This window comes from Homo sapiens, chromosome 2 (genome assembly GCF_000001405.40).
Source record: "Homo sapiens chromosome 2, GRCh38.p14 Primary Assembly".
Lineage (NCBI taxonomy): Eukaryota > Metazoa > Chordata > Mammalia > Primates > Hominidae > Homo > Homo sapiens.
The window spans coordinates 25,237,210-25,251,881 of NC_000002.12; the positions used below are offsets into that span (position 1 = coordinate 25,237,210).

At 54.3% G+C, this 14,672-nt stretch overlaps 1 protein-coding gene across 20 annotated transcripts in view, besides 3 other annotated features; it reads right to left on the reverse strand.

Moving 5' to 3' along the window:
- Positions 1–14,672, reverse strand: part of DNMT3A (DNA methyltransferase 3 alpha) — a 114,717-nt gene that overhangs the window by 9,336 nt on the left and 90,709 nt on the right. For 13 of the 20 annotated variants that reach the window (NM_022552.5, XM_005264175.6, XM_017003526.2 and 10 more), the window contains 14 exons: positions 10,828–11,043; positions 10,382–10,540; positions 9,842–9,949; positions 9,411–9,567; positions 8,951–9,100; positions 8,811–8,855; positions 8,044–8,123; positions 7,331–7,443; positions 6,946–7,129; positions 6,689–6,773; positions 4,353–4,498; positions 3,431–3,521; positions 3,093–3,241; positions 1,921–2,006 (listed from right to left, as the gene is read on the reverse strand). In NM_022552.5, the coding sequence (NP_072046.2) occupies positions 1,921–2,006; positions 3,093–3,241; positions 3,431–3,521; positions 4,353–4,498; positions 6,689–6,773; positions 6,946–7,129; positions 7,331–7,443; positions 8,044–8,123; positions 8,811–8,855; positions 8,951–9,100; positions 9,411–9,567; positions 9,842–9,949; positions 10,382–10,540; positions 10,828–11,043 (1,769 nt within the window). The other 7 variants (XM_011532666.3, XM_047443597.1, XM_047443596.1 and 4 more) reach the window with 4 other exon arrangements.
- Positions 9,358–9,867: an enhancer, noted in NCBI's record as "H3K4me1 hESC enhancer chr2:25469436-25469945 (GRCh37/hg19 assembly coordinates)". NCBI's record gives its function as "activates a minimal SCP1, AML or CMV promoter by ChIP-STARR-seq in naive H9 embryonic stem cells {active_cell/tissue: H9 hESC(naive)}" and the evidence as "EXISTENCE:reporter gene assay evidence [ECO:0000049][PMID:30033119]".
- Positions 10,887–11,394: an enhancer, noted in NCBI's record as "H3K4me1 hESC enhancer chr2:25470965-25471472 (GRCh37/hg19 assembly coordinates)". NCBI's record gives its function as "activates a minimal SCP1, AML or CMV promoter by ChIP-STARR-seq in primed H9 embryonic stem cells {active_cell/tissue: H9 hESC(primed)}" and the evidence as "EXISTENCE:reporter gene assay evidence [ECO:0000049][PMID:30033119]".
- Positions 14,050–14,119: a silencer, noted in NCBI's record as "silent region_11248". NCBI's record gives its function as "represses an Ori minimal core promoter by ATAC-STARR-seq in GM12878 lymphoblastoid cells {active_cell/tissue: GM12878}" and the evidence as "EXISTENCE:reporter gene assay evidence [ECO:0000049][PMID:35858748]".

Genomic DNA, 14,672 nt, shown 5'->3' on the forward strand with positions numbered 1-14,672 from the left:
CCACCAAGCGTTAATCCTTAAAGGTAAATTCAAAAGTGGTCTCAAATTGTGAACAGGCAGATAACACCTAGCAGAAAAAGAAAAAAAAAGCACAGCTATCTTTACATCAGTTAGTCTAAAATACACTGAGCTTTAAGCGTCCCACTGCGAAGCAAGCTTTGGGGGTGACAATGTTCTGTATCTTGATTTGTGGTGATTGTTACACGGGTGTGTCCACTGGATGAAATTAATCAAACCGCAAGCCTTAAATGTACTGCTTTAAAAGACTAAATTCTGGGCCAGGCGCAGTGGCTCATGCCTGCAATCCCAGCCCTTTGGAAGGCTGAGGCAGGCGGGTCACCTGAGGTCAGGAGTTTGAGTCCATCCTGATCAACATGGTGAAACCCGGTCTCTACTAATATAAAAATTAGCCAGACGTGGTGGCAGGTGCCTGTAATCCCAGCTACTCGGGAGGCTGAGGCAGGAGAATCGCTTGAACCTGGGAGGCGGAGGCTGCAGTGAGCCAGGATGGCACCACTGCACTCCAGCCTGGGCGACAGAGCAAGACTCTGTCTCCAAAAAAAAAAAAAACCAGACTTAAATTCTGCAGTTCCCTAAAGACCAAAAATTCTGTGACATTAAATATGTCACTTCTCAGGGTGCAGGCCACATAACTGACTGGCTGTCCCCTTCAACGCTGACCTTTTCTGACATGTAAGGATATTTAAGGAAGGCTTCCCTGAGCACTGGCTCCAGGATCTCAGTGTGGGAACCACGGGGCCTGCAGTCAAATCAGGTGCTCGACAGATGTCCCCGACTCTTTATGCGTGCACTGCCCAGTCGGCCCTGCATGCAGGACCTCTGCTCCTCCTAGAAGCTCAGAGTTTAGTATTTTAGAGTTGAAAGAAGCAGGCGAGAAATCCCACAGGACCAAGGTCTGTCGGGAGACACTGAGTGGTTCCATGAAAATACTGGACCTCATTAGCCCATCCATTTCCCAATATGCACATGTATCTTGGGAACTCTCGGGGGACAGTTTCAGGCCAGCTGCCCCAATGCCCCATCTCCTTCCCCTCAACAAGCCCTCGATAGCAACTCTACCAAACATGTATGAGATGGGGAAGGTCCTACAACCTCATGGGAATAGCAAGGAGGGAGATTATTTGACCGAGGCCAGGTGAAATGATGTCTCCTAGTTATACCAAGTATACCAAGCAGCCCACCATGGAGGTTTAACACCCATGACTCAGAACACTCTGGAAAACGCTTCCCTCCACAATGGACAGGGACTGAGCGGCTCTCAGCATGCTTTTGAATTGCCAACTCTGGACAATTTATTTCGCCTAAAAAGCCTTTTTATAATGCCAGTTTTATAACTGATGAAATGAATTTTCTTCATTCCTAGATATTAAAATCTTTATCTGTGTAACCTAACTGAAGAAAATCTCTCCAAAAAAGGACCTGAAGCCAACAAAGTGTGTGATTAGTAAAATTAAGTTAAGCAGAACCCTGAACTTGCATGCAGCCGCTGCAAGATTCCCTCTCCTGGAACAGGCTGTGGCCACAACTCCCCTTCCCAGCCCCAAAGCCATGCCCCATGGCTTTGCCTCAGGAGAATCTAAGAACCAGAGGGCTCGGGACACATCACCAATGTCAGAAAACCAACTACCTAACTCAGCAGCACAGGACTCTTCTTTGGTATAAAGAGAGTACTTTTAAAGGTCCTGCTTTAAGACCACTAGTTGTTGGTTTCAGACGAGTATTTTCTATACCCTGACTCCTCTTCCTCCTCAAGGAAAAGGAAATAAGGAACATGGCAGAGCAGCTAGTCATTCAGCAGAGGCCGGCCAGAGAGGGCCCGGCTCAGGGGCTTCCCCACTATGGGTCATCCCACCTGCAGTCCCAGCCCACAGCCCCCCAGGCCCAGGAGCTTTCACCAACCTGTTCATACCGGGAAGGTTACCCCAGAAGTAGCGGGCCCTGTGTGCAGCTGACACTTCTTTGGCATCAATCATCACAGGGTTGGACTACAAAACAGGAGACGGTTTGAAGATGAGCCAAGGAGGAGCATGAAACAGCGCCGGCATGCTGCTGGGGTCGAGCCTTAAAGCCTCAAAGCCTCTTACTTCTCTCTCAGGAGCCACACACTGGGCTAGCCTGCAGCCTCCAGGAGAAGCTGGAATTACACCTAGCCACATTCCACAAGCTGTCACTGGAACGTTCTAGATCAGCATTGTCCAAATGAACTTCTGCGATGGTGGGTTGTCCTCTACACTGTTCAATTCAGTGGCCACTAGCCCACTAGTACAGGTGGCTATTTTGTACCTAAAATGAGGCCAATGTGATTGAGGAGCTGAATGGTTAATGTTAATGTAAACAGCCGCATGTGGCTGGTGGCTACCATATTGCACAGTGCTGCTCTAGACTACCCAGAGGCTGGGAGAGCCCAGGCTCCAGCGAGTATGGGTGTGTTTACCATGAGCCCTGATTAGAACTCAAACAGACGCCTGCTCACACTTACAGTCAGAACACCAGCTCACAGTGTGACCCACCCCAAGACTCAGGAGCACAGGTGGGCTCAAGCTCCCAGAAGGGCCACTCCAAGCACGCCTCTGGCAGCAGAAGCCCTCTGCACGCGGCTCAGACTTGGCTCAGGGTTAAACGGGGACTCACATGATAAGGAATGAAAACTGAGCTAAGTCTTGTTTTCTTCTCAGGTGCCTGTCATGGTACCAGGGAGTGAGGATAGGCCCTTCTTGCTCAGGGAAAACTGATTTTGTCCTCTCAAAGATCCTGGTGTGTAACAAACACCATACAGAATACCCAACCCCAGGAGTCTGGCACCCCACCTGATTGAGTGACAGGTCCTTCAACCCCGGAGGTCCACACCCACAATGCCACCTCTTAGAGTGAGACCACTGGTTCTTTCCGAGGTAGGCCTCTAACCCTGCTTCCTCCCTTTCTATCCAGGAAGCCTGGGGCTTCCCAAACAGGCCCCTTGCAAAGCAGAAGTCACCAGTCCCCAGCTCCACAATGCAGATGAGACAGGATGAAGCAGCAGTCCAAGGTAGAAGCCATTAGTGAGCTGGCCAAACCAAGGTTGCTGGCTATACCTCGAGAAATCGCGAGATGTCCCTCTTGTCACTAACGCCCATGGCCACCACATTCTCAAAGAGCCAGAAGAAGGGGCGATCATCTCCCTCCTTGGGCCGCGCATCATGCAGGAGGCGGTAGAACTCAAAGAAGAGCCGGCCAGTGCCCTCTGAGAGGTCGGAAGAGAAAGCCATCAGCTGGGGCTGTCTGCATAGGACAGTGGTGTGGCTCGGGCACGGGGAGGGCACGGGAAGACAGGGTCATCGGGAATAGCTGTCCCAGGGCAGAAATATCCAAGGAGGAAGCCTATGTGCGGAAGCACCAGCTGAGAAGGTGGAGGGGACAGGATGGTACCTACCGTAGAGGCCCTTGCGAGCAGGGTTGACGATGGAGAGGTCATTGCAGGGACTGCCCCCAATCACCAGATCGAATGGGCCCCACTCCTGGATCTGGGAGGATAAAGGCAACGTGATGGGCCTGCTGTCCAGGGACAGAGGCAGACAGGAAGAAAGAGAAATTATCTGTGAACTTGGCAAAGAAGTCCTTTGACACGAAAGAGAGGAGACCCAGCTGCTCTGCAGGCTCACGACCCTAGCTGCAACCATGGACAAGTCCTAAACAAGAACGGGACCAAGTTGGATCATTTCTTAGGCCAATGGGGAAACTAGTATCACCCAGGCAGGCAACACAGCCACCCACTGGGAAGGTGACCCAAGTGGACGGCTGAGTCTGAAGGTACCTGGCATGCTGAGTGTCTTAGGCAGGGTGTCTGGGCCATGTGAATGTCCTCCAGTTGCCCTTCAGGACTCCAGAGGGCCTGTAGTCATGCTTAAGGGAAGACCCTGCCTGAGCCTCCCAGATATGGAAGCTGATAAAGCTATTTGCCAAAAGTATTGGGAGGACAGGAACCTCTCTCTAATCCAAAGAGCTCTACTAGAAACTGTCCAGAAACCAGCCCAGGGAGTAGCCAGAGCTCAAGTAGGCACTATGTTGCCCAAGCTAGTCTTAAACCCCTGGCCTCAAGGGATTCTCCTACCTTGGCCTCCCAAAGTGCTGGCATTATAGGCATGAGCCACCATGCCTAGCCCAAATTCCCATTTCAATTTGCCCTTTACCCTCTCAAGACAGAGGACAAATGGAAGATAAGGAGAAAAAGAGGCTGGGGCAAAGGGTGAAGAGAAAGAGGGCAAATGAACAAAATGAAAGGAGGCAAGGGCTGCCTCCAGGTGCTGAGTGTGCAGGGAGGGGAAGACGGGCTGCGCCCCACAGCATGGACATACATGCTTCTGTGTGACGCTGCGGACGTCCCCGACGTACATGATCTTCCCCTGGTGCCGCACCATGCCCACCGTGATGGAGTCCTCACACACCTCCGAGGCAATGTAGCGGTCCACCTGAATGCCCAAGTCCTTCAGCACCAGGAGCCCTGCACCAGCCAGCAGACAGCACCGTTACTTGGAGCCATCTCCCTGGCACCCTGGTCTCGGCAGGTGAGCCTGCTGGCCAACAGGACCCATGGGGTCAGCTGTAGGCCCAAGTCCTATCTTTTCCCTGAAGATGCCTTAAATCCTTTCTGGATCCAACTGGAGTATCCATAGTAAGGACATCGAGGCTCTGTCTCATGCCTCGTTTGGCCTATCTGGAAGGCAGTCAAAGCTGCAGAAAACTGACCGGAGAGTACATGGTTCCAGGATCCAGGAAGAATCACAGCTGACTTTTTGGGGGCCTTTTCTTTGTTGTTGTCCGTCTACAACTTGGTCCTTCCATACCCTCTTATCACCTCCTGCTACAATTCTACCCCACCCTTTGACTCAACCTGAATGTTCCCTGCTCCACAAAGGTTTCATAAATGCCCTGCCCCACCCAGTAGCCCCTGGAATCACCGCCCCCTCCGCTATGAGTCCCCAGCTCTGTGCATCCCTTGCCTCCCCATCAGAGCAGTTTCCATTCCTCACTCAGCCCTCTCGTGGATTGCAAAGGCTCTTCCAGACAGAGGAGGCCTCCTTCATTGTGCTTCCCCCGAGCTAACCACACAGATTTCCTTACCACGATCCCTCCCCCTCCAGAAATGCTAGCCGAACTGAGGCAAGGAAACAATCAGAGCAGATCCCGAGAGGGTCTCGGGAGAAACAGGGTACGGCACTGTTTCTGCTGCTCCCAACATGTCCCCCAGCCAAGGAGCTTTTACAGCCTCCTGGGGTGTGACATGATTTAAGAAGGCCTCAAGGTTCCAGTCTGGGATACAAAAAGCTGTAAATGAACTTCTCTAGGTTTACAGAAGAGCAGCATGGAGCTGAGAACAGAAGACAAACATCTGGCCGGGGAAGCCATCCCCTCCGCCTCACCCTCTAACCAGGGTCCCTGGGTTGAGACTGCCTATCTCCCTCTGGCCAAAGACATGAATTCTAAGAAGAGCTATTCCTTTCTTAAAAGCCGGGAAGCCCTTGGCTGGGGGGGCAGGGCAGAGGGGTGGATGTGTCTTCACAATCTCCTAGGACGCTTTCTGCAGTGTCCAGAGTCACATGAAGCAAACAATGCCTGCAGGGTGACCCAGCATCTCCTAAAGGTTTTCCTAAGGAGGGAATGGTTCAAGTATATATTCTATCAGGATGCTTGTCACAGCACTACTTATAATAATAATAAAAAAAATAGTAAATGACCTAATAGGGGTTCGTTAAATAAATTACGGCACTTTGACTCAATGGAACCTTACGCAACACTTACAAATAAAGAATGTAGCTTTGGCCGGGTCTGGTGGCTCATGCCTGTAATCCCAGCACTTTGGGAGGCCGAGGTGGGCGGATCACAAGGTCAAGAGATCGAGACCAGCCTGGCCAACACGGTGAAACACCGTCTCTACTAAAAACACAAAAATTAGCTGGGCGTGGTGGTGGGTGCCTGCAGTCCCAGCTACTCGGGAGGCTGAGGCAGGAGAACTGCTTGAACCCAGGAGGCAGAGGTTGCAGTGGGCCAAGATGGCACCACTGCACTCCAGCCTGGGCAACAGACTCCGTCTCAAAAAAAAAAAAAAAAATGTAGCTTTATATCGCTTGACATGAAAAAGCAATCATAATATAATAAATGCAAGGCAAGTTACAAAACCGTGTGCATTCACTACCCACTTAATTTATCTATCTATGGATGTATGGTTATATAAACACAAACGCACAGAAAAAAATCTGAAAAGGACATATGCCAAAATATTAATAAAAGGATAATGGGTGATTTAAATAAGTCTTCTTTAGACTATCTTGTGTATAATCAAAACACAACAGAACTGTGTATGTTTCTGTCTTGCTGAATCTGTCCTTTGAGGCTCTGTGAAATCTCTGTGAATCTGACTAATGATCACTCGGCCTCTGTGGCTGAATCTTCCTTACTAAGGAAGCGCCCAGCAGGCAGGCTGCTTTACCACCTGTTTTACTTTTTTATTTTTGGTCAAATCTAAGTCCACGGACTGCATACGTTTCCACTTCACACACAAGCTTCCCCTTTGGGATAATATTTTAACAGCTGTGAAGCTAACCATCATTTCGTTTTGCCAGAGTTGCCCACACACCTGGCTCCCCCATCCTGGGACAAGGCGGCCAGCACCTCTTGGGCCTGCACCCCTCACCTGTAGCGATTCCATCAAAGAGAGACAGCACCCGGATGGGCTTCCTCTTCTCAGCTGGGACAGGTGGGTAAACCTTTGGAGGGTCCTAAGCAGTGAGCACAACAGGTCAGATGCAGGCCCAGCGGTGTCCCAAGCTCCCACCCAGCGCTGGCCCTCCAGCCAGGCTCCTAGACCCACACACCCTGCGCACAGCTCAGGCCCCACAACCAAGGCTCAGCCAAGGGAGCTCGAGACCGCGCCCCAGGCCCAGCACTCACAAATTCCTGGTCGTGGTTATTAGCGAAGAACATCTGGAGCCGGGAGGGCCAGTCCTCTCGCCGCCGCAGCAGCCCGTAGGTACCCTTGTGCCCGCACATGTAGCAGTTCCAGGGGTCTTCCTTAATGGCTGCCTGGGCAGCCCCCGGCCCCACCAAGAGGTCCACACACTCCACGCAAAAGCACCTGGAAGGAGACCCAGTGAGCAGAGGAGACTCTCAGCCCTGGTCCGGGGAGGCCAAGGTGTGCTACCTGGAATGGAAAGACCGGGTCTGGAGCATGGCTAGGGGGTGGAGGGTCTGTGGGGAAGGGAGAGGAGGGGAGGCGGTGGGCGGCGGGAGCCTGGGGCCCAGCTAAGGAGACCACTGGAGGCCACAACAGCCTCACCTGCAGCAGTTGTTGTTTCCGCACATGAGCACCTCACGGCCCCCACAGCAGATGGTGCAGTAGGACTGGTAGCCGTCGTCGTCGTACTGGTACGCACACTCCAGAAAGCAGTTCTAGACAGCAGCGGGAAGGGTCAGAAACCACCAGGACGGGTCCCAGGACGGCCAGGACGAAGGGAGGCTCCACACCTGGCCTCACAGAGCCTAAGCCCTGAAGACATGACCCCGCCACCACCTTAGCCAGGGTCAGGCCCCAGCTGCAGATCTGGGAAGGGGAAACCTCATCTGCCTGTGCACCGCCATGGACAGAACCAAAGAGCAGCCTGAGAACAAGGCCAGGGAGGGGGCTGCACCACCACCTTGGGCCTTCCTGCAGCCCTGGGTTTTTCTCCTGGGCTCCCCAGGGCACGGCAACCCTGCTACACTCTGCCTGAGCTTGTCCCCGCTGCTCTGCTCCCATCCCCACATCTGGGGACTAAAATGGGGCTTGAGAGAGGTAAAGAATCTTTCAGAGGAGAAAAATGAGAGCAAGTCAAAAGCTTGAAACCCAAGGGCCCGTGTCATCAGGACTCTGCTTCCAGAGGAAGCTCTGAAGTCTACATCACACGCACACCGGGTGTCACCCTGTACATGCCCAGAAGCGGTGGACACAGTCAGCCAGAAGGCCGAAGGGCCGGCCTCAACGGCACCTCTCCTGGGTGGGTGTGCTCCTACCTTGCAGTTTTGGCACATTCCTCCAACGAAGAGGGGGTGTTCCAGGGTAACATTGAGGCTCCCACAGGAGATGCAGATGTCTGGAAAGCAGAGGGAGGGGATGGGGTGAGTACCACCGAAGGGCCTCTCCCTCCCCGGGCCGGAGCCCAGCACCAGACCAGCCACAAAAAAGGGGTGTGCCAGAGCGGCAGCCAGAAAAGAGTCCAGGGTGCCCCACGGAAAAGGGAGGCACTGTGACCCCAGTCTCGAACGCCATCATCTCAGAGCACCAATGCCACCATCCACAAACAGGGATGGAGTGACAGCAGGACAGAAACCTGCTCATGAGAAGCAGCCCTGGTTCCAGGTTACTCAGGAGGGATTCCCGGGGTAATCCTCAAGTCCTGACCCCTGCCCCAATCCTCCCAGGCCGAGGGTCCTGAGCCAGATCCACCAGCACCAGGCTGAGGGCGACAGCCCCAGGATGAGAGAGGTGAGCAAAGGTGAAAGGCTGAAAGGGGACCTGTAGGTGAGTTCAGTCACACCCAAGAGGGGCTGCCCTTCTGTGGCCACTGGGGAGTCCCACACCCTGAAGACCAGCCCACGCCATTGACAGGAGAGCAGAATCATGGCACCAGAAAGACAGACAGTGCACGAAGCACGGTGAAGGTGGTGTGACACGCAGGACGTGGCCCCTGGTCCCATGTCATTCAAACCTTCCTAAGTGCCTCTGCTACTCTGCCCCATGCCACACTAGGAGTGCCAGAGTTCCCAGGCAACAAACTTACCCTCAATGTTCCGGCACTTCTGCCGCACCTCGTACACCAGCCGCTCTGCAAGGGGAGGAGAGCTGGCGTCAGAGGAGGCCGCGCCTGCTCCTCGGATGCAGGCCTCCTGGTGCCACCCTCTCCAGAAGCAGGCCAACTACCTCTTGTGCGCTCATCAATAATCTCCTTGACCTTGGGCTTCTCCGCTGTGCTCTTCCGGGGCTTTTTGGCTGGTGGAGGTGGTGCGTAGGCAGCTGCCTCAGGTTCCACCCACATGTCCGTGTACACTTCTTTGTAGGGATTCTTCTCTTCTGGAGGAGGAAAGCAGGTGCCAAGGTCAGTTACAGGCTGACAGGAAACTCCAGCCCCTTCCCCCACCCTCCTTACAGTGGGGTGCGGCCTGGTCTCCAACTTGTTCCCACCTCCCAACTCTACGGTTCTAGCCAACCAACAGAGAGCAGGTCATTCAAGTCCTGACCCCAGGGCAAGAGAGACCCCGGCTGTTCCCACTGGGCCCCTCTGTGGAGGCCTTGGCAGCCCTCCCTAAGCATGGCTTTCCCAGCCCTGGTGTGGATCTGCCTGGCGGGCAGGGGTCCCAGAAAGCTGGGTGCCCTCATTTACCTTCTGGTGGCTCCAGGCCCTTAGGGCCAGAAGGCTGGAAGCCCCCCAGGGCCCATTCAATCATGGGCTTGTTCTGCACCTCCACGGCCTTGGCAGTGTCACTCTCATCGCTGTCGTGGCACACCGGGAACAGCTTCCCCGCGCGGCTGCTGGCCACCTGGAGGGTGACACGCCAGGGTTGGGGTTGTCAGGACAGGCTGGAAGGCAGATGGGTCAGGCTCAAGGCCAGACTCTGAGTAGTGAGGGTGGCACAGGCAAGATGGGGAGGAACCGCTGAGGAGGAGCGGGATGTGCATACGGGCGAGCGAGGTGGAGAGAAAGGAGTCGCTGCCTCCTGGGCCTCCGTTCTGCTCAAGCCCGACCTGCACTCCAACTTCCAGGCCTCCTAGTGCTCTAGGCTCCTCCTCCGAGCTCCCAGCAGGGACACTCACCTGCAGGACCTCGTAGATGGCTTTGCGGTACATGGGCTGCTTGTTGTACGTGGCCTGGTGGAACGCACTGCAAAACGAGCTCAGCGGCATCAGCTTCTCAACACACACCTGGGGGGACAAGCCAGGCCTTGTTTGCCGAGGCTTACACTTGCAAGCACCCACCCCATGCCTTGCAACTGGCAGGGGCTGGGAGCCTCGAGAGTCAGTCTCAGCCCTGGAGGGGACCAGATACAGTGATAAATAATTACCCGATGCAAAGAGGAGTCCAGACCAAGAGTAGGGAAGTACCTGAGTGCAGGTGGAAAGGAATTCTAGTGAATAGGTTCCTGGAAGGCTAAAACTGGGCCAGCATCCTAGCTCTCTGAGCCACAGGTGCAACCTAATTATCCCTACAGCTTCTTCCACCCACCACAGGCAGAGTAGGGGTGAGCAGAACCCACTTCCATCACCCCAATTCCAGACTGCCCCCAGCCAAAACCACAGGCCCTGGGATCAAGAACCTTCCCCCACCCCAGGCTACTGCCAAACCCCACAACTTACCACTGAGAATTTGCCGTCTCCGAACCACATGACCCAGCGGGTGCCTTCAGCTGCTCGGCTCCGGCCCGTCATCCACCAAGACACAATGCGGCCTGGCCACCAGGAGAAGCCCCGCAGTTTCCCCCACACCAGCTCCCCAATGCCAAAGCCCCGGCCGTCCTGGAGCCCCAAGGAGCAGAAATCATTACACAGTGGTCACGAGGCCCTGCCACCCTGATCCCCCCATGGCAACCCCAGCCCTGGGCATCTGGGGGGCAGGACAGCCAGGAGGGAGCTCCATCTGAATGAGGCAAGACAGAGCAAAATCGGGGAGACGAAGAGGCCCGGGGTCAGGTGGAGAGAGCGAGCGGCCCGTGGGAGATGGAGAGAGGAGAGCAGGACGGGAGGAGCTGGCAGTGGAAGGCCCCCGGAAAGAGCTGGCCACGGCTGGTGAAGAAGCCGCTCACCTCGTACTCTGGCTCGTCATCGCCTGCTTTGGTGGCATTCTTGTCCCCAGCATCGGACCCCACGGGCTCAGGCGTGGTAGCCACAGTGGGGGATGCGGGGTCAGTGGGCTGCTGCACAGCAGGAGGGCTGGCCTCCTCCACCTTCTGAGACTCCCCGGGCCCCTGGTTTTCTTCCACAGCATTCATTCCTGCAATGACCTTGGCTTTCTTCTCAGCCTGGGGAAACAAAAAACAAAAAGTCACCTTGACCTCTCCAGGAATTAGCAAGGCCACCTGACACTCAAGGGGACCATGTTTGTCAAAACCCGGAACAGTGACAGAAGGTCAAGGGCTGGAGAGAGCCAACCAGCTGCCTTGCCGTGAAAAATGGAAAGACTTGAAGTAGAGAGGTGAACTCAAGTCACACAATTCCAGCCTTCTTTTCTGCCTTTTAGGAAACCTTCCTCCCAGATCTAATCTTCCTCAATCTCATCAGCATATCGGTTGCCTACCCTATGATACGGAAATGTTATTTATTTATTTTTTTTTTTGGAGACAGAGTCACTCTTTCACCCAGGCTGGAGTGCAGTGGCGCAATCTCGGCTCACTGCAACCTCCACCTCCCAGGTTCAAGCGATTCGCCTGTCTCAGCCTCCCGAGTAGCTGGGATTACAGGCATGTACCACCACACCTGGCTAATTTTTGTATTTTTAGTAGAGATGGGGTTTCGCCATATTGACCAGGCTGGTCTCTAACTCCTGACCTCAGGTGATTTGCCCGCCTCAGCCTCCCAAAGTGCTGGGATTACAGGCATGAGCCACTGTGTCTAGCCTACGTTAATGTTTTTTTTTTAATTTTATTATTATTATACTTTAAGTTTTAGGGTACATGTGCACAACGTGCAGGTTTGTTACATATGTATTCATGTGCCATGTTGGTGTGCTGCACCCATTAACTTGTCATTTAGCATTATACCGTATATCTCCTAATGCTATCCCTCCCCCTACCTATGGAGATGTTAATTCTATCCAAATATTAATCAGGCACTATTGTTTAGACACAGATATTGGTTCCACCCTCTCCTATCTTCTTAATCAAGACTAGGATCTTCAGCCAGGCATGTGCCTGTAATCCCAGTTACTGAGCAGGGAGGATCACTTGAGCCCAGGAGTTCAAGACCAGCCTGGGCAACATAGCAAGACCCTGTCACCAAAAATTTAAAAAGCAAGGGGGACCCTCTCTTCTTCTCCACAATTCCCCTGGGCAATCAATCCTTCCTATTCCTGGTTTCCAGGCCACAATTCTAGTTTTGTGATGTCTGCTGACGAAGAAATCACTGCTCTGGGTTTAAAGAGCCCATCTCCCCCCAGCACATGCTCAAACACCATAGGAAGCTCCCCAAGAGCCTGTCTGTTCCCATGCTCAGACGCCATGCTGGAGTTCTTATGGATCACACCCAGTGTGTATTGTTACCAGATTCGACCCCTTCTATGTGCACCCTTCAGATCCATAAATACATGTATTCATTCAGTTATTTACTGAGCAGGCACTATAGACCAGGCGTGCTCTCTGCCATCCCACCAACAAATTAATAAGCCAAACCCCAGTTATTCTCCCATTGCACAGCCTCCATCCTTTCACCGTATCACACTCGTCTTTCAGGCTACGATCCACGCGCCCATTCCTTCTCACAACCCGCTCCAGGATCCCTACAAAGGAGAATGAAATCCTTGATACTTAGCTCTGAGAACCATTAGCCTTTTACTGAATCTAGGAAACACGGCCCTCTGACTTCAAGGCTTTGCACCCATTTCCACCATACCAGATTTAGAGGGGAGAAAACCCCATTTTCTACATGCCTTTCAAAAGAGCTCCCCCATGGGCCTAGAGCTGCGAATGCAAACCCATCCTCAAGGGTAAAGAGGATGAGCAAGCAACCTGGAGTATGAAGAAGAGCTCTAATCTGAAGTTGCAGCCTCTACATTCCTGTCGGAGCCTCACAACCAGCAGCTGACTTTGGAGCAGTCCTTTCTAGGAGTTGCTCCAACATAAAAAGGCACCTGAACGGAAGGATTTCTGGAAAGCTTTTCTGACCTGTTTAAAAATCTGGTGTATATATGGACCAATGATTCCCAGGACTCTCCCAAAGCCTGTCAATGGACCCCCCAGATCCAAGGGTCCCAGGTTAAGAACCTTTGTTTGAAGCTCAGTGGTCCAATGTATTGTCTTACAGATTCATTTAATTTCACTGAGTCTTCAAGTCTTTGCCTCCAAGCCACAGACCAATCTGTTTCTTATGGCGATTCCGAAAAACACTGAAGATGTTAAGTCCTAGTTCTTCCTCTGACTCAACAAATTCTAAAACAGGATAATGCATCCTTTGCCCCCAACCCCCAAACAGCTGGGAAAATGAGCTCATGGATGGCGGAATGAGCTCACGGATCGGACTGCGGGGGTGGAAGAATGTGGAGTAATTGCTCATCGCTCCCTAGCCCCACTCTCACCTGGCCAGAACTCTGCCCTCCCCTTCCTACTATCAATTAGCCATCGCCTCCTCCCCTACGAGAAGGTGCACTGAAGTGTGGACCCCGCTATGGGGGAGGGTGCCTCCCTTGCTGGGATCCTCAGCTGCGTCAGCTACCCTCGCAGAGGAGCCCACACCACGCCGCTGCTCCTCGCCCACCACGCCTTCTCAAGCTTCAGGCATGGGTGGCTGACCTAGGGTGATGCCTCGGATGATCCAAAGACCCCGTTTCCAGGCGTGGCGAGGCCCCTGAGCCAGTACGAGGTGTGCAGGTAGCAGTGGGCGGGAAGGGGAAAGGACCCGCTATCAGTTCCTGGCAGCGGCAGCAGCAGGTGGGCTGGGCTCCTCCTCTGGCTCCCCAGGTCTAGGAGTCGTGCCTGACACCACCCTCAGCACTCCCCCACGGCCCCTTTGTCTCTCAGCCCCTTCACAGCGAGTTCCTGAACATTCTTCTTCCCCCACAACTTCCCCCAGCTTGTCAGATGCCGCGCTGCGAGCTGTTCAGCATCCCCAGCCCACTTGGTGCAGAACACGCACCCGGCCCGGTAAGGGCTGGCGGAGGAGGAAGGGGCCTCCATCAGGACTGGGGCAGTGGGGTGGGGGAAGGAAGAAGCGGGGGGGGGGGTGGGTGAGCAGCAGGGGGCCTGACGAAAGGGGAAGGGGCAGCCGGAGCTGGGTGGGGGAGGGGCCTCACTAGACTAGGCCTGTCTGGGGCGTAGGGAAAGCACCCCTTTCCCTCTGCACTCCTGCCTTCCTCCCCAGGCAAACAATAAGAGAAACAGGGGTGAACTCGAGGCTCTCGCATTTGGGCTGCGGGCTGCTCACCCCCAGGGGGGCGGAGAAACCAGGCGGCATTCAAGAGACACCACACTATTCCCCACTCCCTGCTGGCTCACGGAAGCCCCTGGGCCTGGAGTCCGTCCAGACTGGGAAAGCCACCGGGAACTCCGGTGACTACTGCCTCCGGTCCAGTCCCATCTCCTCAGGCAGTTGTCCCGCCTCCACCTCCCCCTGCGACTGCAGCGCTTCCCATTCCAAAGGTCAGAGGTCTGAGCGCCACCGCCCCCAAGCCCATGCGGCCTTGGGCTACCCTGGTGTCACAGGCCGGCCCCCTGTCAGGGTCGCACCGTGCTCTCCCGCCCCCCACCACTTCTTTCTGGCGGCCTGCCTGGAGGCTTCCAGGAACTCGCAGGAGAGGAAGCTGTCCCTCTTAAGAGGCCGCAAGCTGGCAGGGCCCTGAGGACCGCGTGGTCCCCCAGCCAGAAACGCAGGTCACCAGGGAAGTGCCAGGCACCCATCTGCCAGCTCAGCTGAAGCTGCCTCCAACCCAACTCCTGGGCCA